Source organism: Homo sapiens, chromosome 7 (assembly GCF_000001405.40).
Source record: "Homo sapiens chromosome 7, GRCh38.p14 Primary Assembly".
Taxonomy (NCBI): Eukaryota; Metazoa; Chordata; class Mammalia; order Primates; family Hominidae; genus Homo; species Homo sapiens.
The window spans coordinates 90,223,916-90,247,324 of record NC_000007.14 but is presented as its reverse complement, the minus strand read 5'-3'; the positions used below and the strand labels follow the sequence as shown (position 1 = coordinate 90,247,324).

The 23,409-nt window shown below is 37.3% G+C and overlaps 2 protein-coding genes and 1 long non-coding RNA gene across 50 annotated transcripts in view, besides 2 other annotated features; 1 reads left to right on the top strand and 2 right to left on the bottom strand.

Moving 5' to 3' along the window:
* CFAP69 (cilia and flagella associated protein 69) overlaps positions 1-2,151 on the bottom strand; it is a 78,550-nt gene extending 76,399 nt beyond the window's left edge. For all 25 annotated transcript variants that reach the window (XR_927530.2, XR_927531.3, XM_011516577.3 and 22 more), the window contains exon 1: positions 1,781-2,151. Coding sequence is in view for 21 of the 25 variants with exons in the window: in XM_011516577.3 (XP_011514879.1) it covers positions 1,781-1,900 (120 nt within the window). In the remaining 4 variants the exon portion in view is untranslated. The remainder of the gene's footprint in view (positions 1-1,780) is intronic.
* Positions 774-1,286: an enhancer, noted in NCBI's record as "NANOG hESC enhancer chr7:89875353-89875865 (GRCh37/hg19 assembly coordinates)". NCBI's record gives its function as "activates a minimal SCP1, AML or CMV promoter by ChIP-STARR-seq in naive H9 embryonic stem cells {active_cell/tissue: H9 hESC(naive)}" and the evidence as "EXISTENCE:reporter gene assay evidence [ECO:0000049][PMID:30033119]".
* Positions 2,152-2,193: 42 nt separating the features above from the next.
* LOC107986819 (uncharacterized) lies at positions 2,194-9,738 on the top strand. 2 transcript variants are annotated; one of them, XR_007060423.1, is made up of 2 exons: positions 2,194-2,248; positions 3,246-9,738. It is a non-coding gene; the product is annotated as an uncharacterized LOC107986819 (long non-coding RNA). The 2 variants fall into 2 exon arrangements; XR_007060422.1 differs by having other exon boundaries at positions 2,232-2,274.
* Positions 3,917-23,409, bottom strand: part of STEAP2 (STEAP2 metalloreductase) — a 31,669-nt gene continuing 12,176 nt past the window's right edge. For 10 of the 23 annotated variants that reach the window (XM_047420172.1, XM_047420175.1, XM_006715921.5 and 7 more), the window contains 4 exons: positions 21,751-22,275; positions 19,827-20,354; positions 17,289-17,453; positions 9,642-14,988 (listed from right to left, as the gene is read on the bottom strand). In XM_047420172.1, the coding sequence (XP_047276128.1) occupies positions 14,701-14,988; positions 17,289-17,453; positions 19,827-20,354; positions 21,751-22,242 (1,473 nt within the window). In that variant the 5' untranslated portion in view covers positions 22,243-22,275 and the 3' untranslated portion in view covers positions 9,642-14,700. Of the gene's footprint in view, positions 4,153-9,641; positions 14,989-17,288; positions 17,454-19,826; positions 20,355-21,750; positions 22,276-23,409 lie in introns of those variants that run through there. The other 13 variants (XM_047420180.1, XM_017011956.3, XM_017011957.2 and 10 more) reach the window with 4 other exon arrangements.
* Positions 12,560-12,765: a silencer, noted in NCBI's record as "fragment chr7:89863874-89864079 (GRCh37/hg19 assembly coordinates)". NCBI's record gives its function as "represses an EF-1alpha promoter that drives an FKBP-Casp9 reporter gene in an ReSE screen in K562 erythroleukemia cells {active_cell/tissue: K562}" and the evidence as "EXISTENCE:reporter gene assay evidence [ECO:0000049][PMID:32094911]".

Below are 23,409 nucleotides of genomic sequence, written 5' to 3'. Positions count from 1 at the left end.
CCAGGATCTTTCCTAAACTGGCCTAAGGCAGAGGCCTAAAAGGTTATCATTTTTTCGTTCCAGGGTCTCTAGACCCCCATTCTATGAGTAAAGAAACTGAGTAACTCAGTTAACTTCTCATGAACTTAGGGTTCTCATTTGTAAAAACAACCACAGGCAAAAAACAAGAAGGCTGAGGATCACTAAGATTTCTCCCAGCTATAAAAAGTTCCTATTCTATTTCTTTGGGGAGAAACTACCTTTTTCCTCAGTACTTCGAAAATGTTACTACTCTTAGAATTAGTAATTAACAAGTCAGAAACATGAATTAATGCAAATTGATTGCTTTCTTCTTGGAAGAGAATCCTAGGCCCTGGAAAGAGCAGTAGTAATGAAAGAAAAGAAAGAAAATTAAAATGGGGAGAAAATGCACACACATATACACAGGTATACTTGTTTCATTTGGTATGTTTTGGACTATTTTGGCAATGGCTTTTAAAAAGTATTTTTCCCTAAAAAAAAAAAAAAATCCACGCTTGCTTGCCTTGTATAACGTTGCCCAATTTTTCTTGGAGCAAGTAAAGGAAGACTGAGAGCCATCAGTTATCAAATTCACATACTTTTCAGTTTTGCCCCTTGCCTGGGAGTATGGCTGTATTGTTGATCTTTCTTGCAGCCCAGGGAGTGGAGAGCTATTGTTCCTCAAAATTCTCCCCGCCCAGAGGGGAATAGGTCCACAAAATCGATTAGGCAAATTCCCCTAACACCTATTTCTCCTCATGCAAAATGCTGTTGCTCCGCAGGTTACTGCGTAAATGTCAGACCTCAGAGAGCTCAACTCTATTCCCCAGTCAACTGACCACTCCCAAGGAACTCTCCAAGGCTCCAGGATGTGAACGCAAGAGACAGGGTTCCTGACGCAGCCTGAGATTTGAGAAGCCTCAACAGGAATTCCCACAGTGGCCCCACACCATTAGTGTGAGGCAGGACAGGGTTCCTCCAGGAATTCGCGGCTTTTAAGGCACGATCAGGGCTCTCTGGGGGATCAATGGAATCCTAGTAGGAAACAAACAACTTGGGGTTTCTAAACACCTCCGCCTCGAATAGAGATCCAAGGGCCTCAAATGGAATTTCTCAACAGATCAACTTCCAAGAGTGAATTTTGTATTCATAACAAAAGCAAACCCAAAACCAAATACAGTACAAGCATAATAAAACAAATCAACTCTATTCTCTCCCGGTTCTCTCCGACCCAACGTGTAACAACCAGCTTCCAATTTCATATTTTAAAAATGCTTAATTTCTAATTTAACAGCGTTTTCCTCCCCTCTGGGTGCAGGCTTTAGTCGCAGCAAATTTAAGCATGGGAAAATTTACATCTATATCAAGAACATCACTCGGTAACAGGGATCTACGTATTAAAAAGTTCAGTTCAAACTGATCAGGTCATCAAATCAAGATTTTGCTAAGAATGATTCCTTTCCTCCCTGTAGCTCTATGACCACTTTTCGAAGAAGCGCGGCAAAACCCCGCCTACTCAGTTTGCTAGGACCCTCCAGGAGGACCACACAGCGCTGGTCCCCAGACAGGATGGTTGACAACAGCCAGCCCCTCGCAACCGGTGCAGTTCGCAGGGGGTGGGGGATCAGGATTAGCTCTGCGCTTGGAATCTCCATCCCGCGGCTTCCCCCATCTTCACTCCTGTCCCCAGTTCCACCCTTGCCACCCCCAGGTCTGGACCCCGTCTCGAGACTTCACTCCCACCCCCTCCACCTCTGAAAGCACAGACACCTGCTCATACCTGCGCCTCATCGTCCTCCGTCACCACCCCAACCACCGGGATTTGACTGGAACTGCTAGACTTGTTCCTGATGCCGGATTCCTGGGCCTCGGCGGTCGCCCCGGCTTCCTCTGTCCACATGGCCGGTGGCGGCGGGGTGGAGAGTGGGGGGATCTTCCTGTCCTACAGTGCGCCCGCAGCCGCTGGGCCCAAAGAGGCCCCGCCACCGAGAAGGGAAGGCAGCCTGAGAGTCGCTAGAGTCGCGAAAGGTCCCAAAATTCCGCCAGGGGCCTAGGCCACCGCCATACAGTCCGCTTAGCGCCGCTGCCGCCCCCCAGTTGACCCAGACCTCTGATCCCGGGCCGGTTGTTAACACAAGCCAGCGCGTTGCTAGGGGGCGGGGCCAGAGGCTACGGAAAGCCGGAGAGCCAAACCACCCCAAAGCCTAATTGCACTCCGCGCCCGGCAGGGCGAGTTTGCAGGCTTGCGGTAAGGAGCCTGCAGGATGCACCTCGGTAGGTAGCGGGGAGTGGTGCCTTAGGCTCCCGGTGTGTTTCGGTCTTCATAGTCTTGCTTCAAACAGGCATGAGTGGGTGGAGGGGTGAGGGATGTCTATGGGATACGTTAGGCGTGATACGATGGACGGATAGTGTTGAAAGCGTTTCTCTCACCCCAGGGAAGTGACCAGTCTCGCTTACATTCCCCAGCTTTTATCTGTACTTTAGTGGCCCAACTGGACAGTTAAATAAACAAACATAAAAGGTATTGTACAGAATGTTAAAAGGCTTTTGAGTCAGTTTATTGAATCTAGAGCGAGTTATCCCTTGAAGTCTCACTTTTCTCATCTGTAAAATAGGACTGTTGTGAGGATTGAATGAGATGACAGTGTTTGTTAAGTGGTGCTTGGCACAGCATCCCGTATGGTCAAGATTATCATTATCTTTATTACTGTTTGAGAACTAAAAATTAAATCCTAAGCCCCACAACCGACTGAACGGACCCCCTTTTGGCCAAGAGGACCCCCGATAAACCTTAAAAGCTGAATTCCTCGCCCTGACGGGACGGAAGGACGGACACGCCTCGCTATACCCCCCTACCTCCTCCCTTTTCACGTCCCCCTCACCCCTGGTTTTTTGAGACAGGGTCTCACTGTGTCCCCCAGGCTGGAGTGCAGTGGCAGGATCGTAGCTCTGCAACCTCCAACCTCTGGCTCAAACGATCCTCCCGCTTCAGCCTCGGGAATAGCTGGGAGTACAGGTGCACATGCCACCAAGCTCGGCTCCCCCTCCCTTTGAGGGCTTAGACTCAACAACTGACCAGCATTAATGTTAAAATGGAGATCAGAAGGCTAACAGAATGGACTCTGTGGCAATAACAAATTATAAGCAAGACCTAAGGCCATGCCAGGCAAGAGTTAAGTCACTCACACCTACACTTAAAGAATAACCTTTGTTTTAACTGCTGCAATGTTTTTATTTTTCTCTAGCTGTTAAATAAGAACTGCCCTCGACATAAGCAATATTGAAATAATTGCAGCTCATCCATGGCCAGATGTTGACTAACAAGACCCTCCTGTTCCACAAGTCATAACTGCAGGTTTGATTGGACAAGGGACCGATTCAGTAACTTTCCCCTGATAAAAGACCACCCACTATGGACTGGTTCTGGCAGGTTTACAGAGACTGAGCACTAGTACATTCATGTCTCTGCTTCTCCTTTTGATGTATAGGGACTGTAATGCATTTAAATGTTAAGTTTCCACTCCACAGTGAGCATGGGATGCATGTCACATGCATGTTTATTCAGCACCCCTCTTAGTGAAGATTCACAGCTCTTCTTACAATCTGTTGAATATGTCTGTTTAGCCAACTCATTCAGCATAAAGCTTCTGCTCCAACCCCACCTCCTTCAAAGTGCCTGTTGACTGTCTCTGTGGGAGCCTGGGCTTCCCAGCCTGCAGAATGGCCAGCCTGCAGGTTGTAACTCATTATAAGAAACAAAGTCTCCTTTCTAAATTTATAGATCTTATGATTTTTCAGTTGACATGTTGTTGCCTATCCATTGTAGACTGAATAATAATACAAGAAGGGTCAAGACTATAATGGAAAGCTTCTCATGATGATCATCAGTATAATTTAATAACTCAAACACCATAACTGAAAATTTAAAAAACTCTAACTCTTTTAATCTGTTTTTTAAACTTTCAAAAATTATTCAAGATTTAAACGTGCATTTTTGTATCTTCCATAGAATTTATGAATTTAAAATTACATATAAATTCAATGAAAATAAATATTACTTCACTTCTCAGAGCTTCTCTCCTCATTTCTAGAATGAGGTTGATAAGTGATTTTGAAGGTTCCTTCTGCCTCAGACGTTGAATATTTCTGGCCCTAAAAGAAAAATGGTAACACTAGATTAGGACTGGCAGCATTTGATTGTAAATCCTAGCCGAAGAGACCAAGTTTTGTTGAGAGTAGTGAGCATTTCTAGCACCTGTTTCCACACTTCTAGTCATTCTTCCGCTTTTCTCATCCTCAGCCCTCTGAAACTGTGAGATCACCAACACTTGGGGTCAAAGTCTATTAACATTTTTCAGTTCTCATCCTGTTATACTAGTCTGTAGTATTTTACACTGTTGACCCCTCTCCTCTTTTTACAACCCCCTTGCCTAGGCTTCCACATTCTTTTTGTTTTTCTTTCATCTCTACAGCTACTCATTGGTATCTTTATGGGCCCAGCATGCTTCTGCTGCACCACTCTGCTGCCTAGCTACTGATAGATATCTTTAGAACCATTCTTAGGCCTTATTACATCTAGAGGGCAGTTTAGTAGGTCTAAGGTTGCTTCCACCTAGGGAAAGTGCAAAGCATGTTAAGTGTTTTATTCATATGACTTAAATTGCTGTTACACAGTCCAAGTAAACCACATCGAAAGGAGACTGAAACTACTTGGATGAATACAATGGAATCCTGTGGAATGGCACCCCAAACCAAGATGGTGGCAGAGAGCTGACAATTGGATTATTTGCATATCCTTTGTGTGGTCATCCTAGCATCTCAGGATCAGGAAAGATGAAGAGGAGGGAGGGGAAAGGAAAAATTTCCACTTAAAGTAGAGCTTGCCTAGGAGACATCAACTGACTCTTGTATTTTAACAGCACAGGCTGAAGCTGATAAGGGTCTTTAAGCCTCAGTAACCTTAGACAGGCACCTTCCTCACTGGACCTAACTGAAGAGACTTTCCTGACTAGTGAACAATGGGATATTTATTTTATTTAACCAATGGTGTAGAGACCTATATATTCATTCTGCCCCATATCCAGAGTGCCAGTTTCCAATGCTTAATTAGCATAAGCCCCATAAGCTCCCCACTTCTAACATTTAAAAACCCCTGACTTTCCCTCCTCAGTGAAATTCTTCATGGAGTAAGTTCTCTTGCTTGGCAAGTTAATAGACTCAGCTTTGTAATTTTTTTTTTCTAGCTCTAACGGTATTTGTTTTACTCATGGACAGGTGAGAAGGACAAGGGTAGAGGAGTCTTCAAACACCCCACAGCCAGCCATCTTGGGTGAATTACTGCAGTTTTCGAAAGGTGCCAGCAGGTTTCCTCCCGCATAACATTTGCATTATGTTGTACATGCCACCGTCTTCAGATGGCTAATCCCTATGAAATTCAGTTAACATGACATTTTCTAGGAAACCTTTACATCCTTTGCTGTGTTGGGTGCAACCTTGTCTGTCATTCCGTTTTTGTACTCATCACATACTTAATGGTATCAACTGGTTCAGCAATTGGACCCCTTCCTACTGTACTGAGATTCTTGAGAGTCACTTTGATATGCACCCCAGACCCTCAGCATACTGTCTAGAGCAGTAGTTTTCAAAACCTAATGTGTATCAGAATCGTCTGGAGAAATAGTTAAAACAGAATCTCAAGCCCTACCTGCAGAGTCTCTGCTTCAGTAAGTCTGGGTGAGGCCCAAGGATATGTGCTTTTAACCAGTTCCCAAACAATGTTGATGCTATTGGTCTGGAGAACATACTTTGGGACTTCCTGGTCCATATCATACTAGTCACTCAAAAAATGTTCATTAAAAGATTTCAAGGATTATAAATTACTTTTTATTTTGATTTGAAGCCAAATTAAAGCATTTTGTAAGTTATCCAAAGTAAGGTAAATACTCCAGGTCCTTGCTACTCAAAATGGGGTCCTTGGGCTACTTGCACTGGCATTACTAGGGACTCTGTTAGGAATGGAGACTCTCTTGCCGCCTGGTGGACCTACTGACTCAGAATCTCCATTCTGAGATTCTGATCTCTCAAGATCCTCAGCCTCACATCAAAATTTGAGAAGCACTGCTCATGTGTGTGAGTGTGTGTGTGTGTGTGTGTATGTTTATGTGTGTTGTCATTATTATTGCTTTGGAGTAGTTTTAACAGCATCCATAAAACTGGTTTTCACTAATTATTCCATTCGTGGATTTTCCAAGTCCTTTGTTCCCAAATAATAGTGGGTTTACTTTTCTTCTTGGTAAGTGCACAAAGATTAAGCTTCATAAAAGCTTTAACTTTATATTTGGTATGTTGACTTAATTTTAATCATTATTTAGTGATTCTTCTGTTATGACACAAAAACACAGAAGGGTGAAAGGGTGAAATGACTACTGAAGGAGTAAATTATTTCAGCAAAAAGATAAATAGCAGAGAAACATGGGAAATGAGTTATACCTACAGAATAGAAATGCTTGAATGTGGTAACAATTCTACAGAATTTAATATCTCTGTTAAGTTACAAATTGCAATTTCTTAGTAGCACCTGTAGACTTAAAGATTAACTAGTAGTTTTAATAATATATTGACTTACAAGTTTTACTTTTAAAAGTAACAAAGAAAGCTAAAAATGTTTTAAAATAAATATATTGCAAATTGTGGTTCTATTTTCCTTCTGACTTTTTCTTGTTTGTACTCTGCCTAATTAGCAATGTTTAGTAAAATTATAATTATTTCTAATCATATGAATAATTATATATTCTTGAATTAAGAATATGTCTAATAAGTATTTGAGACTATATATGAATTTTATAGTCTCTAATGCCAGATGTTCTAAATGTGCAAGCAAATGTTATTCCTTTCTGAATTAGAGTAATTTATTTTAAATAAAGAATGTTTATAGCACATATGAAATCTAGTCATAGTTTTTAGTAGGTTAGCTTTAGGGAAATTCTGTAAGAGAAGAAATGCATACAAAACCAGAATTTATTATACTTAATTTTTTTTTTTTTTGAGACAGGGTCTCACTCTGTCACCCAGGCTGGGGTGCAGTGGCGTGATCTCTGCTCACTGCAGCCCTGACCTCCCTGGGCTCAGGTGATCCTCCCACCTCCCACCTTAGCCTCACGAGCAGCTGGAACTACAAGTGTGTGCCACCGTGTCTGGCTAATTTTTGTTGTTTTTTGTAGAGATGGGGTTTCACCATATTGCCCAGGTTGGTCTTGAACTCCTGGGTTCAAACGATCTGCCCACTTTGGCCTCCCAAAGTGCTAGGATCACAGGCGTGAGCCACCGCTCCCAGCCTATACTTCACTGTTTTAAAAAACTTTTTCAGGTTGACAGCACAGAAACAAAGCCTAAAAACAAAACAAAAGTAATTACCTCTTTCCAACAGAATCATTAATGTACATTTGGGAAGAATAAGCACGTGGAACAGAAAACGAAAGTAAAAGAATAGTCACCCCTGAAGACAACCATTCTAATGAAAAGTATACTAACAATAACCCAAACTGCAAGTGATTTTTAAGTAGGAAGCTGCAGGAACTACTCGTGTTTAGTGGAAAAGTAAACAAATTGAAAGTAAAAAAAATTAAAAGAAGAATTTATAAAGCGCTTTTACCCAAAGCTTCAGTTCCATGACATGGGAATAATTATATGAAAAAAAAATGTTCCCGAGATTTTAGAACAACTATTTATTGTGTTTAAATGGTGGGTAGTTATAGTGCAATAACCCCAGGATAGAACTGTCTTTGTTGTGGAGCAAGATTAATCAGACAGGTTTGTTCCAATGACATTAATTATTTGAGTTCTATATCTAAATTGACTTGTTTTGATTCTATGAACCTTGTATTAGTTTTTGAAGACTGCTGTAACAAATACCACAGACTGGGTGGCTTTAACAACAGAAATTTATTTTGTTACAGTTCTGGAGGCTAGAAGTTGAAGACTAAGGTGTTGGCAGGATTGGTTTCATCTCGAGGCATCTCTCCTTGGCATGCCGTCTTCTCCCTTTTACTTCACGTGGTCTTCCCTCTGTGCATGCCTGATTCCTAATCTCCTCTTCTTATGAGGACACCAGTCATACTGGATTAGGGCCCAACTGTATGACCTCACTTTACCTCTTTAAAGATCCTATCTCCAAATACATTCTGAGGTAGTGTGGGAGTTAGGATTTCAATGTATCAATTTTGAGGAAACACAGTTCAGCCCATAACAGATCCCAGTATCTTTTGAATTATAACTTCAATTCTTATAAACAGCAGATTCAAGAATAAAGTATGTTTAATCAAGGCACAAATGGTATTCTCGCCTACAGGACACTGATATTTCACACAGTAGTGCTGAGTTACTATTTTGATTTAACAGTGTATGACTGTACATTTGATCAATGTGAATCTGCCCCTGAGGGGTTTTTCTACTCTCAGGGGTCTCAACAAATCTGGATTTTGAGTCTGCAGGGTCCCGTGCCTGACTTTCTCAAAGTCATCATTTGTCTCTTGTTTCACTTCCCATTAGAAGAATCCACTACCAAAAGTACTGTACTAGTCTAGGTTCCCCAAGCCTGCCATAAACAAACAACACCAACACTCACCTGCTGCCACTCTATGGGGAGTACTATCTCTGAGAAACAGAAGTGAGGAAAAACATGGAAGTGAGGCAGTAGGAGAAGGGAACACAAACACAGGTGTTAGTGAGCTTGTCATAGCTTTGCAACAAGTGCAGTTAATTGCTCGGTCTTTGAGGATATTTTCATGAAGGTCTTATGAATTATTGCACTTTAGAACAGCCTATCTGGGGGAAAGGAAGGGAGAATTTATCTACTAGCTTCATTTTGTGCTGTACCTCCTTGATCAAAGTTCACTCCTTAAGTAGGGTTGCCAGATTTAGAAAAATTTTAAAAAGCCCATGCTTATAATAAAAAGTAATTTATTGTTTGTCTGCAATTCAAATTTAACTGAGAGTCCTGTATTTTACCTGACAATCCTCCTCTCAGGATATTAGCACCTAAGCATTTCCAGGCAGCAGCTGGGGAAGCCAGAACCTCCACAGACAGATCTGGTGCACAGGCACAAAGGTCAGTTACTCCTTGTCAGTGGCACAGTGTACAGGACTCCTCAACATATAGCAGTGTGGTGGTGGTGGTAGTGGCAGCAGCAGCAGAAACTCTTTAGGACAACAGGGTAGCGCTAGGCCACTGGCCAGGAGGCAAGGCATGAGGAAGAGGCAAGAGGATGTAGGCATGGCTGCATGGATGCGGGATGATAAAAAACATAATTTTCTGTAAAAATGGGTAATTATTTATTATAATATCTCTTTAGTATCCATCATAGATCACATTATACTAGATACTGGGGATTTAGTAGTAAATAAGACAAAATTTCTGCTACGGGGAGTTTACAGAATAGCTTGAATATTGTGTGTGTTCTGATTTAAAGATGCTTAATGAATGCTAGTAAAATGAAATAATGTAATAAAATAAATGTAAATGGAGGTTTTTCTAAATGACTATTTTAGTAAAAACAAACAAAACCCCTCCATAACTATCACATGTATTGCTTTCTGGATGCTTCTGAAAAGAAATAACTCAGAAAAGTATTAGAAGGCCTCCATCAAATACTAGAATTATTATTTAATGAGAAAAAAATCCACGTGTATACAACATTTCAAAACAGAAGTTAAATCATTAAATAGTACTTTTTATTTAAATGTTTATAAGGCAGATCTATGAGAATGATAGAAAACATGGTGTGTAATTTGATAGCAATATTTTGGAGATTACAGAGTTTTAGTAATTACCAATTACACAGTTAAAAAGAAGATAATATATTCCAAGCAGATACAAAATATCTAATGAAAGATCAAGGCAGGAAAATGAGTATAACTAATTGACAATGGAAAATCAATTTTAATGTGAATTGCACATTATCCTTTAAAAGCTTTCAAAAGAAAGAATTATTGCAGTCTAGTTAATTCAGACAGTGTTAAATGGTATCAGGATAAAGAACTGAAGGGCAGAAAGAATTAATTTTCACTTCATGTAACACACCCAGATTTACAATGGCTTAAATGCAGGAAAAAGCAGTGGAAGTAGGGAAGTAGTCAAGGTCTTTCTGGTCTCTAATCTGCCTTACTCTTTGGGTGTGGCTTTGATCCTCTGGAGACAGCTGCCAGGGCTCCTGTTATATCCACAATCCCAGCAGCAAGATGAAGGGATGAAAAAGGACACATGCTGCCTTCCTTTGAGGAGACTTCATCTCACTGGCCAACACTCAGTCACATGTACACCTAACTGCAAGGACAGCTGAGGAATGTAATGGGCAGCCGCTTTTAAAGAAGTAGAGTCAATAGGAAGACAAATTCCAGTTCCAGCTCAGTCTGGGTATCTGCAAAGCTGCAAAAGATCTTTAAAGACAATTTCAAGAGAATATTTCCTTAAAGTTGGCAATTTGGAGATCATACAAAAGCATCTGCTTTTGTGATTTAATTTAGCTCATCTGGCCACTGGAAGAATCCAAACAGTCTGCCTTAATTTTGGATGAATGCATGATGGAAATTCAATAATTTAGAAAGTTAAAAAAAACTCAGTATGTTAGGCTGAACAAAACATTTTTTAGTAACATATGGAAAGAATCTCTGAAAATTAAGCACTGTATAATTTTCTCATACTAAAAAAAAAGTGAAGAACCCATTCATTCATGTAAAATTCACTGTTTAAAGGTAAAAACAGATTGAGTTTCCACTGAAATTATTACAGTTTCATTTAGGGCTAATCATTTGTCCTGAATGTACATCAGAATTTGTTTTACCCACTGATGAACAATTGAAGGTAGGGTGTCTCATTTCACAATATAAATCTTAACACTGTGAGGTGTGTTATACTATGTATGTATCTTGTTTTAAGTCATGGATTTACAAAATAATTTCAACACATTTTAGGCTGTTTACGTATTTCAAAACAGGGATTTCATAGACTGACACAGGAATAATTAGTTCAGTGTTCACAGTATTCCTAAATAAATATTTACTTATTACATTTATGATACTTTATTTAAAATACCACATTAGAAACTTTAAATATTTCATAAATAAATCTCTTTTTTGGGGGGAAACTGTACAGAATTTATTATGAAATAGCTTAATGGCAAGTGGTAATTTAGAAGAATTAAGTTATCAGATAGGAGATATATTAAAATATTTAAAAATTGGATATATTCTTGAAGCCCTTTTACACAAGTAATTTCTATAATTTGATTGTAATGAAAGTATAATATACCTTGTTACTATTATCAGATTAATTTTTGAAAGTAGAATTCCTTAATCAAGCCAAGGTTATGCTGCTTTATAAGAAATTAATCAGGTAGTTTAACACTAGAGCTCATTAGCCAACCTGTATGTAGCACAAAATAATCATCTCTGATAAATACCTATAAATATATTTTATTCATACTTTTAAATATTTTACAATTCAAATAAAAACCTTATATGTAGACAATCTGGGCTAAATTTCCATGTATGTTTTGAAAAATAATGTTAGCATGAATAGATTCATATTTAAATATGATTTTAAATACTCTTAATAGAGGAGACATAAGAAATATTTACATAAAAGCTAAGTAGCATGATACAGCTCATGGTTATTTTCCTCATAGGAAAACAATTACTTGATTTTTTTTTTTGCATAGGATTAAGACTGAGTATCTTTTCTACATTCTTTTAACTTTCTAAGGGGCACTTCTCAAAACACAGACCAGGTAGCAAATCTCCACTGCTCTAAGGTTCTCACCACCACTTTCTCACACCTAGCAATAGTAGAATTCAGTCCTACTTCTGAGGCCAGAAGAATGGTTCAGAAAAATAATGATTATAAAAAATAACAATTAAGAAAAATAATCACATAGAGGTAAAATAAAGCAACTAAACATCATAGTTTTGCATTTTTAGAAAAGCATTTAAACATTTAGAATTATAGTAAATATATTACATTTATTCTAAAACTTCAAAATTATTCTGTTTTTGTAGTACTGAAAAGAAGATAGTGCCATTTGAAACAACAGATGCATCTTTTATACATTTTCACAAGTTTGTTTTTCATATTTTTAAAGGCCCCATTTATCTGTAACAGTGGTATTTTTATTTAGAGTATCGGCTACTTAATATATACATGCAACAATATATGCTTTAATAGTCATTTAACTTTTAGGAATATTTCATCACATTAAGTGGTTAAGCATAGTGTTAAAAGAGTGGAATTTAAGGAATAAGAAAATATTGAAAATACGCTGTTATTTTCATTAGTTCACTATAATAGAATGTTTTTGCCCATAAAAGTTATCATTGCCCAACTGAATTCCTACCAAGAACTAACAAGTGATTCTCAAGTGGGGAGAAATATTATTAAAATAAAGAAAATAGAGGGCTCAGTTAGAAAGTACAAGATAATAGGCCGGGCGCGGTAGCTCACACCTGTAATCCCAGCACTTTGGAGGCCAAGGCGGGCGGATCACGAGGTCAGGAGATCGAGACCATCCTGGCTAACACGGTGAAACTCCGTCTCTACTAAAAATACAAAAAGAAATCAGCCGGGCATGGTGGCGGGCACCTGTAGTCCCAGCTACTCGGGAGGCTGAGGCAGGAGAATGGCGTGAACCCGGGAGGCAGAGCTTGCAGTGAGCCGAGATCGTGCCACTGCACTCCAGCCTGGGTGACAGAGCAAGACTCTGTCTTTAAAAAAAAAAAAAAAAAAAAAGAGGGTACAAGATAATAAAATTCACCAAGAGAACATTAGAAAATCATAAGTGAATTACCAAACTGACAAGGCAGTTGTAGAAAAAGAGTCACTGGTGGGAAAGGTAGCCTCTACTAAATAAAAGTCTTTTTATTGTTGGCAGTTGGATTCAGTAGTACCTACGTGGGTAAGTTTAGAAATGTTATAATTTCAGGAAGAGGAACGCATATAATTGTATCTTGCCTATAATTTTCTATTTTAATAAGGAAATAGCAAATTGGGGTGGGGGGAATGTAGGGCATTCTACAGTTTGAGCAAAATGCAATTAAATGTGGAAGGACAGCACTGAAAAATTTTATGAATAATCTGTATGATTATATGTCTCTAGAGTAGATTTATAATTAGCCACTTACCCTAATATCCTTCATGCTTGTAAAGTACTCCCTAATGAATGGTTATGCAGGCAGGAGAACTTCTCAGGAAGAGAAAAGGAGAAGACTAACTCTACAGAGATTTTTGAAAGACTCCGTGGGATCTCAGCAATTTGTTAACACTGCTAGGGCCCTTCACTGCATAGGGAGGCATATGGACTGCCATGGGTCTCCAGGCTCATGTTCCAAGCAAGAATAGGGTAAGTAACTGTGAATTACCCTACAAGCAGTAATAAGTTTATTATAATAATATTTTTATACATTTTTGGATGCACCCAACCCACTCTAAAGAATGTCAGTGACTTTATACAAAAGAGGAAGCATCTAGATTGGCATTGTGAACATAATGCATAGGGGCGCGGCGGGAGCTCTAGAGCCTAGTGGTTAAAACCGTGGCCTCTGGAATATGACTACCTGGACTTGAATGCTCACTCTGCCATTTATTAACTGCAAGACCTTTGAAAAATAACTTTTCTATCCTTCGGTCCCTCATGTGTAAAATGAGGATAATAACTACTTATCTCACGGGGTTGTTCTAAGTATTAAATGGGATAATACAAGTAAAGTACTTAGAACCATGCCTAGCACATCAGAATCCCTCAAAGAACATCAGTATAATCCTATACCATAGCAAGTGGTGACTGGTTAAGGTGCGACAAAGGTCAGCTGGCAGATTACTTGTGTGCAAACTTGATACTTTTGTTCTAAGTAGGAACTAGTATACAGTTCCTAGGATTGGTACCGTATTAGAGATAGCAGTTTTGGAAGCCAAATGTTACTGAATCCTCTTCCTGATCAGTATATTAATATGAAAATGAAACTGCTCTGTAACACAATAAAGAATAAAATCTTTCATGAGGTATGTATTATCAGTATGTATTTCATGTCTCAAATATATTTTAAATATAATTTCAGGTTTAATTTGTCTTTTTAATTTGTGTCTCTTCATATAATCACATTGCTTCATACAATTAATTTCATCCTTCAAATCCTATTTTATGAGAGAAATATAGGAATGCTATCATGCAGCCTTACCTAGATGCTAACATAACGTGTCCTTTCTTAAAAAAATGTATAATAATGCATTTCTACTTTTTAAGTTGAATAATTAAAATCTTAATCTTCAGAAAAAAATGTATATCCATTGAATTATTTTAAAAGCTTAAAATTCTGCTGGTTTGCAAATTGTTTTTAACATTATATCTATATTATTAACTGTAAGTATTTTTGCCTGATTATGAAATATAAAGTAACAACAGGGTTACAGTTGTGCAAAACAAAACAAAACATACCTAAATTACAATAATATGTTGACTAGAAAAATTCATATTGGCAAACATGACATTTGTGAAAATTAACTTGAAGAAAACTCTATCACTAAGTCAGTTGAAATCTCATTTAACAAGTTTCAACCCACGATAATTTGACAGCATACTTGTAACTGAACGTAGAAGTCATAAAAATAATGGCATGAGTAGAACTTTATATGGCAGCTGTGAACACCATTTGTCATCACATTACTGTGACCCTCTCCGGGGAGACATGAGGAATTGTTCCTCCCATACCTTCTTCCAGAAATTGGCTCTTTTCCCAGCCTTTTTTAATTCGTTTTAGCTTTCGGCTTATACATGGAAGGAATAAAATAATCTTACCCAGAATTACAATTGAGGGCAAAACAAGAGCAAGAACAAAGTTTGGTGGTGTATAAAATCTGTAGTACTCTTCCTCAAAAGCTCGTTTCCATCCATAAATTAAAACATGGAAAGTACTTATGAGCAGAGCGACATATCCAAGTGTAGACTTGGGCCAGGAGAGGAAGGAAAAGAAACAAAGAATAAGAAACAAATGACTGAAACTCATAAATTAAACTATCAAGATACACCATGTTTATATTTTGATAAAACTATTTTGTCTTAAATTATCAAGTTAACCTTTGTCCTCTACTGAATTAAATAATATTAATATTTTTATATATGCATATATATGTATTATTTATATGCACACCTTATGTTACACAAATAAGGCCCTACTGCATACAGTTTAATATTCTTACTACTTCATTTATTTTATCAAGAACATTTTCCTCATGTCATTAAATATGAAAATGACATTAATACTGTATAATATTCTATTGAATGGATGTGCATAATTTATTAAACCATTCCTTTTTGTTGATAATTCACTGTTTCCAACTTTCCTCAACTATAAATGTCATGTTAGGCCATTTTCCATATTTTGATTTATTTTCTTAGGACTGGTTTCTAATAGTAGGATTATTGGTCAAAACATCTAGCTTTTCCTTAAGGGTACTGATACATACTGCTAGACTCTTCTTTATAAAAATTATTCACATTCCCACCAGTTGTGTATTAAAGAAATGTGTATGTATGTGTGTGTGTATACACATACACATAAATATAGTCATGTGCCACATAAGGGCATTTTGGTCAACTATGGACTGCATATACAACGGTGGTCCCATAAGATTATATGCCTTATTTTTACTGTACCTTTTCTCTGTTTAGATATGTTTAGATACACAAATATTTACCATTGTGTTACAAGTGCCTGTAATATTCAGTACAGTAACATGCTGTACAGGTTTGTAGCCTGGGAGCAATAGGTCATGGTTTGTATAAATATGCTCTATGATGTTCACATGATAAAACTGCCTAACGACTCATTGCTCAGAACGTTCCCTACTGTTAGGTAACACATCACTGTTAATACATAAACAGACATATGATAAAATTAAATAAACTAATTTAAAATTATTAAAATTAATTAAATTAAATTAAAATTAAATGAGCATCCTCATGGGCACACACACATATATACACACTGGTTAATAGGCAAATATGAAAAATCCTGCAGTATTAATATAAACAACAATTAAAATATAGAGTTTATTAAGAATACTTCAGTTAGGCACTTTACAGTTTAAATTCTAAAAGCTCATCATTCTTTAGTTCGCTAAATTATTATGTTTAAGAGTGCTTACTTTGAAGAATAGTCTGTTATATAAAAGTAATATTACATCAGTATAGTGATGTAATGTCTAACTTTACTGGAAAATATCAACCCTCCAGCAGGCAAAATATTTGCAATTACTCATCTAAATTTATAATGATAATTTGCATCTGTCTAGAACCTTCTATTTCTTTTCGGGTATGATTAAACTAGCTGTTGGGAAAGTACTCTCCCTTTTCTTCAAAAAGGAAAAATAAATTCAGATAAGCATTTTGGCCCTGCTTTGAATGAGATTTTTACAGGACCTTAAAAAAAAAAACAAGCAAATAAGCAATGAATTGAAACAAAACTTAAGTGTACCACCAAAGGACATGAATCTGTCTACTATGCTGTAAACCATTTGGATACAACCAGTACAGATTTTGTGAAAATATAGGAAGGGTCTATGTTTCAGTTATATATTTTTAAAATATGCAACCTTATTATTTAGATATTATTGGAGAAGGTGAATGTTTAACTTATTAAAGAATACAATGGTGGTTTGAAATCCCTTTACAGACATCCATACGTATTAGTATACTACTGATATACTAACAAAATTCTTAAGGCTGGTTGCATGTTATAATCCATTACTCTAGTTACCTAGTTTGCCACTGCTTGTGTTTGTATGTGTGTGTATATATACACACATTTCTTTAAAATATTCAGATTGACATCCCCACTTGAGTTCAAATTAATAAGATTTTTCTGGACAAATCAAGATGACTCAAAACATAAAATAATTTTTCATTCACTTGGCTAATAATAAATTGACTTTCAACATTAAATTTGATCTAAGCTCATCCTTCCCAACTTTCATTTTTTTTTTCTCTTTTAAGATAACTTTTTTGTTCTTAACATAGTATACTGGAAGGCAGTGCTGTCAAAGTCTTCCAGTACAATCATATACTGACTGGTCTTTCACTTATTTAACCAGAGCAATCCTAAGCTGGCTTCCAGCATAATGTATCTAGATGCATAAATACAGCCTCAAAGGCACCCTTTTAATAAGGAACATATTTAAAATGCAGTTGTTCTTAACAAGGAAATCCTATCCTGCACAATCCTTCACCAAACAAAACCCCACATACCTGAATAAAACTGAATTCTCTCCAGTTTAAAGCATTGCTCACTGAAGGGATAGAAGTGACTGCCAGGAGGGAAAGTAAGCCAAGGCTCATTATGCCAAAGGAGATATACATTTCAATTCTCCAAACTTCTTCCTCATTCCAAGAGTTTTCAATATTTGCATGAACCTAACAAGAAAGCGAATGTGAATTTCCTTTATTTAGTAGAACATTAACTGATTCAGCACAGAGTTCACTCTTGGCATAAGAAGAACCTGGTCATATATGGACGTATTTAAGTTGTACTAATTTAGTCTAACAAACCATTACAGAGAACCTGTTACTGGATGATACTGCTCCAGGTGTAAGGGAAAAGAGAATTAAACAAAAGGAGGACAAAACTTTCTCTTTCCTTGTATACGTGCTAGAATAGAGGGGCAAAGCTTTGCCATCATCATTACAGGGACTCTGGAATCCAACACCATAAAATACCTAGTAGTTGGTTCTAGGGTGACACAAAAGAAGTTACTGACAGTTAAACTTAGTTTTGAAGTACTATTACAAGCTGGTTTAAACTTGGTTGAATATCTGGGATATAGTCTGGCCTTAGTTCAACTTGGATCCGGTCAGGGAATTTCTAAACTATGTCAGTATCTTCTTCCATCACATGAATAATATATCTCTGTTTTATCTTTCTTCTCATCTTCTCTTCCTAGAAAGCTGTGATTTCCCTAGCTATAAAGGCCAATGGAGCTCATTTATCCACTTGAACTGCCTCATTTAATATGATCCCCAACTATCCAATTGTGTCATTTATATGCAGTATTTTTTCCAAATGTCTTTTCCTTACATTGATAATGTGTATATAATCAAGTCAGACGGTGAACTCTGAATTTGTGGTATTTTGTGTAGGGACTACCTTTAGAAGTTCTATTTACATTCAGAATATAATTAGAGTATAAATCAAGTATTGGACTCCTTCAGCTGAAATTTTTGATTTAAATAAGTATCTATTAATGGAAAACAGATTCTAACTTAACAACAGTTTAACTTTGTCCAATTCCAGTTAACAAAACATACTTGAAATTTAACAACGAAAAGCTGCTTCTTAGCTATTAGTTCCCTAAGGCAATCATACCATCATCTTGAAAGAGGCCACAGAGTTCTTACCATCTTCTTATTTGATATCTATACAATACAGAAAAACAGCACTACCCAGTGTACTCGGAGACTACAACCTGGATCTACCTGCTCTCCCAGTTCATTCATTCATCCACAAATGGGCTGTTTGAGTGTCCACAATGTCTAGGCTCAAATCTAGGCACTGGGTATGCATCAGTGAAAAAGATAGACAAAGATCCCTCTTCTCATGAACTTACTTTCTGTTGGGGGAAGGCAGACACTGGTAAATGTATTTTTAACATGGAAATCAAGTGTGTTAGAAGATGGTAAGTGTTATTAAAAAAAGAAAGGTAGAGCAGGGTAAGTCAGAAGGATTGGGAATACTGGTTGGGGCAGAGGCAGCGGCATTTAAGATGGTATCCAGCATAGGACTCGCTGAGAAGGTGAGATCTGGGCAAATGACTGGAAGGAGGCAAGGGAGCTGACTGAGCAACAATAAAAGCCTTAGTATCCCATTAAGAGAAGTTTTTTTTCAGGGAGTGAATGGTTTAAAGGTTATCAATCTACTAATTAGAAAAATATTATTTTAGGTTTTATTGTTGAAACAAGCTTAAGTACTAGATGCCACATACTTGGACTATGATGCCTTCGATCCTTACAAAATGCAGATGCTTTTACACATTTGTTTTGGTGCAATGTTCTTGGCTTTCATGGAGAAATGCTACACCAAACAGCTTCAGGGAAACCCCTTAAATTACATTTGTGGATTGGGAATTATGGAGGAAAACCATAGTCTACCTCATAATCAAACCCCTTCCATGAAGTGCTCCCTGAGATTTTTTTTTTTAGAGCTAAGTGCTAGAAAAGCTTCACCTGTGGAACTATTATCTTTTCTGGTTTTTGATAACAAGAGCTTTGTAAATAATAGGGTCTCCCTTCTCATTGTATTGAAAATCTCAAAGCCAAAAGAGAAGCTGTGGAGACACTCTTAGCAGAGGTGTATTCGACTTTTTTCTCCTGATCTTGTCTTCCTGTTCTGTTTTGTATTTTTACTGGTTCTAATTTTATTGTATATATTTACTGAGAATTGCCTCATCATTTTGTGGAGCACAGCCAATTATAAAACATTAAAATAATGAATTGTTGAATACTGAAAGCACTCATTGCAATTATAACATTGAAAAAGGGGGAGAACCCAACCCTCTATTTTTCTGCTTTTATTCTGTATGGAAAAGGATGGTAGCAGCCTTTACTTAAATAATTTTGAATTAGCCACCTAATTATTTTGCAAAAACATTGTTTAAAGAACAATTCTTTCCCCTCCCGCAGTATACCAAAATCAAATTTCCATTACAGGGCATGTAAAATTTTATGTTTTACAATTTATACTAATAAAAAGTATTTTACTAGCATCAGATAAATAACAAGCACATTCAGTACCTGCTGATAAGCCATGTTGAGAAACAAATATCTCTCTGACCTTCTCATCGGTAAGCAGAGGCTGTAGGCAACATGGACCATAGCGAAGAAAAAACTTAGTAATCCAAGCTGTTTTCTACACTGTAACCAGGTTTCCAACCAAGGTGGAAATCTCCTATACTTGGTGCCGTAATAAAGTTGATAAGCAGCTGCCAGAAGACCTGCGAGGTATACTAGGGAGAGCAAAGTAATGGCAACTATAGGTAAGGTTTTATTCACAATCTCTATAGGAATTTTGTAAAAGTCACTCTGTTGGTTTCTAGCATATGGATGAATCACATCTCTGACAAAGGAATAAAGGAAAAAAAATGTGGCCAAGCTTATAGCTACCACCACTGGCCCTCTCCAGAGAGTAAAGAGTCGTAGGGGTAAATTTTCAATCTCTCTGGCTGATGATAAGGATCCCAAGTCAATGGGAATGAAATTCAACTGGCGGGCAAGTTCAATAACCTGTTGTCGCGCTTGAATATTGTTGCTGCATATATAAACCTGTGGAAAAAACAAAAAGACTCAGCATTACCATTGTTGTTTATAAAAATGGTAGCAATCGCATGCTCCACTTACGGACCATCACCTGTGATGACCTTGAGGAATAAATACTTGTTGAATTTTCAGCTATATTATAGTATCTAACAGATTTCAATAGTTTGAAAGCCTACAACAACAAGTATTTATTGAGCACCAAGTTCATTACTGGAGTGAGCTACTATTACTAATGGGTAGGCCACCTCATTCAGGGCTAGAAAAATATTGCTACAGAGTCTCCAAGTAATGTTTGGGGAAAACAAATTCCTAAATATATCCCTGAAGATGTTTGTATAAGGACTCTAAAATAGACCACATAGAAATATTTGCATGTTTCTATTTACATAATGGTGACAATATAACACTCTTTGGATTATTAATCTTGGATAACATTAGCCAGATGAATGACAAATCCTATTTGAATGAATATTATATAATCATTTATGAACTTTTAAAATAGAGGTCCTTTTATAACACAAATAAGAAAAAAGTATTCTAAATTAATTTATTACAGTTGTGACAATGGTGGAATAAACTTTTTTAAAAACTCATTTGGAAAAAATTTTGTATAAATTATAATACGGTATAATAAGTCTAAAAATAAACCAAACACTCAAAATAAAGGCACAAATGCTACATAATACAAATTTAGACTATTTCTGTAGCTCATTTGGAATTTAATCACTGTTCCACATTTTTTTCTGTTAAAAATTTAAAATTGGCATAAATATGGGCATATTATTAAATTCAGGTTTGTCTCACAGGTCCTGGTTCTAATTTGCTTATTCTATATCCACTGCTAAACTTTGGTGGATATGCAAAAGAGAAAAAAGGATTCAGAAATAGCCTGTAGAAGAGCCTATGTTCTTTTACCAGTCATTAAAATAAAGACTGGAAAGTAAATGGTTATCATGACTGATATACAGCATACAATGATATAATACTGAAACTTATTTTCTAAGGAATCTAATCAACTGTCTTTATGGACAAAAACAATAAAAGTGTTTTATAATCATGCTTAATTGTAATGCATAAGCACATTTAAAAGATTTTTAAAACATATTTTATGTGTTTACTTATAAAAGCTTGTTCCACAATGGTGTTGACAGAGTGCCCCATCTGCTTTATTCTCAAGTTGAACTGGATGACTTTCACGTTATTTTCCCAGTTTTCCACATCATGTTGGGAATGGGAATGTGCCCTTACAAGGTCAGGACATTAATCTTCAGGTGCTCATAATTAATTTTCAAATGATAATCATTGGAAAGTGTCAGAGTTTGGTATTAAAATGTTTGATATTTGCTTAGTTGTTTAACTACAAAATACCAGATACATAAGAATAAAAATGTAAAATACATACCTGCCGGCTGGCATCCTTAGGTCCTAACTGAAGTGCCCAAGCTGAGACAACATTAAATCCTTTGACAATCAAAGAATCTGGGAATAATGAAGCCAAATATTCAGCATTGGATTCTGGGTACTGGTTTATCCTCATGTTATTGCTCACATCAATCAGGATTTTACCCACAAGCAGATGTCTCAGGTCCCACAGGGAGGTATAATGTTCTCTGTGTATAGCAACAAATATTATATTTGTTTTTGTGAGAGCATCTTCATGATGAGTGACATCTACCACATGAGGAAAAAATTCAGAAGCAAACTTAGGATTTCTACTTCCTATGACCACATGATAGCCGCATCTAATAAGTCGAATGGTCAAGGATTTGGCAAAATCTCCACTTCCAATCACACCTACAGTGACCTTCCTTGCATCTTTGATACCATTTATGCCATTAGGTAAAAAAGTTTCACTAAGGCTCTTAGGGCTTCCCATCATAGAGATTGATTCCATGATACGGACACTTCCAAGATCACCAAGAATATCCTAGGGGAGAGAAAATAAAATGGTCATCAGTTACCTATTACTGAACATTAAAACACTTCTAGACATTGTAATGTCCTGTCTTTCTAGAGGTAAAATATTTCACCACACTTTAACATACAGCACAGTAAGACACAATTTGTAAGCTAAAAAAGGATCACTATTCTGGTTTCTCTTCATAAATCTTTTGGCTTTTAAAAAAGCATCTCAATAGGAAAATTAACTGTCACAAAGGTGAGGTGCTAAAGTGGGGCTTCTCAAATTTTAATGTGCACACAGATCACTTCGGAATCTCGTTAAAATGTAGATTCTGATTGAGTAGTTCTGGAGGGAGGCTCAACATTCTGCATTTCTAATGAAAGCAATACCAATGCTGGTCTGAGACCCCTCTTTGAGCAGCAAGGCACTAGTGATGCAGGACAGGAAAGCCCCCAAATGGGGGCTTAGCCCAGGAGACTACTTGGCTTTGCATGGGAAAGAATTCAAGGGCGAGCTGGTGGTGTTAAACAGCAACGTTTATTGAAGCAACAGTTTACAGCAACAGCAGAGGTACTGCTCCTTGCAGAGCAGGCCTACCCCGTAGGCAGTGTGCCTAGAGTAGCAGCTCAGTGGCAGCTCTGCAGTCATATTTAAACCTACTTGATTTATATGCAAATTAAGGGGTGATTTATGCAGAAATTTCTAGGATGAGGGTGGTAATTTCTGGGTTGTTGGGCTGTTGCCATGGAAAGGGGTGGTAACTTCTAGGTGTTGCCATGGCAATAGTGAACTGACATGGCACACTGATGGGCATGTCTTATGGGGAGGTGCTTCTGCCCTGACCTCAGTTTGGTCCAGTGTCTGAACCTTGCCTCTGGATTCAAGTTCTGCCTCCTACCTCACTAGAGCACATGAAAAAAGGGACTGAGGTTTTCACTCAGAACTTTTTGGAAAAACACACTTGTAACAAGTATGATTACCCAGCTTTTGAGCAGATCAGAGGCAGCAAATCACAAATGCTGCTGGAGGCAGAGAGGACTGTGATACTAAGTGATGGCTCACAAGACAAGAGAAGAAAGAAAAACCATTTTTTAAAAAGCCATTTAAACCAAAACTGTCTAAAGTCATTTGGGGTAGAGGTTATAAAGTTCCCTATAT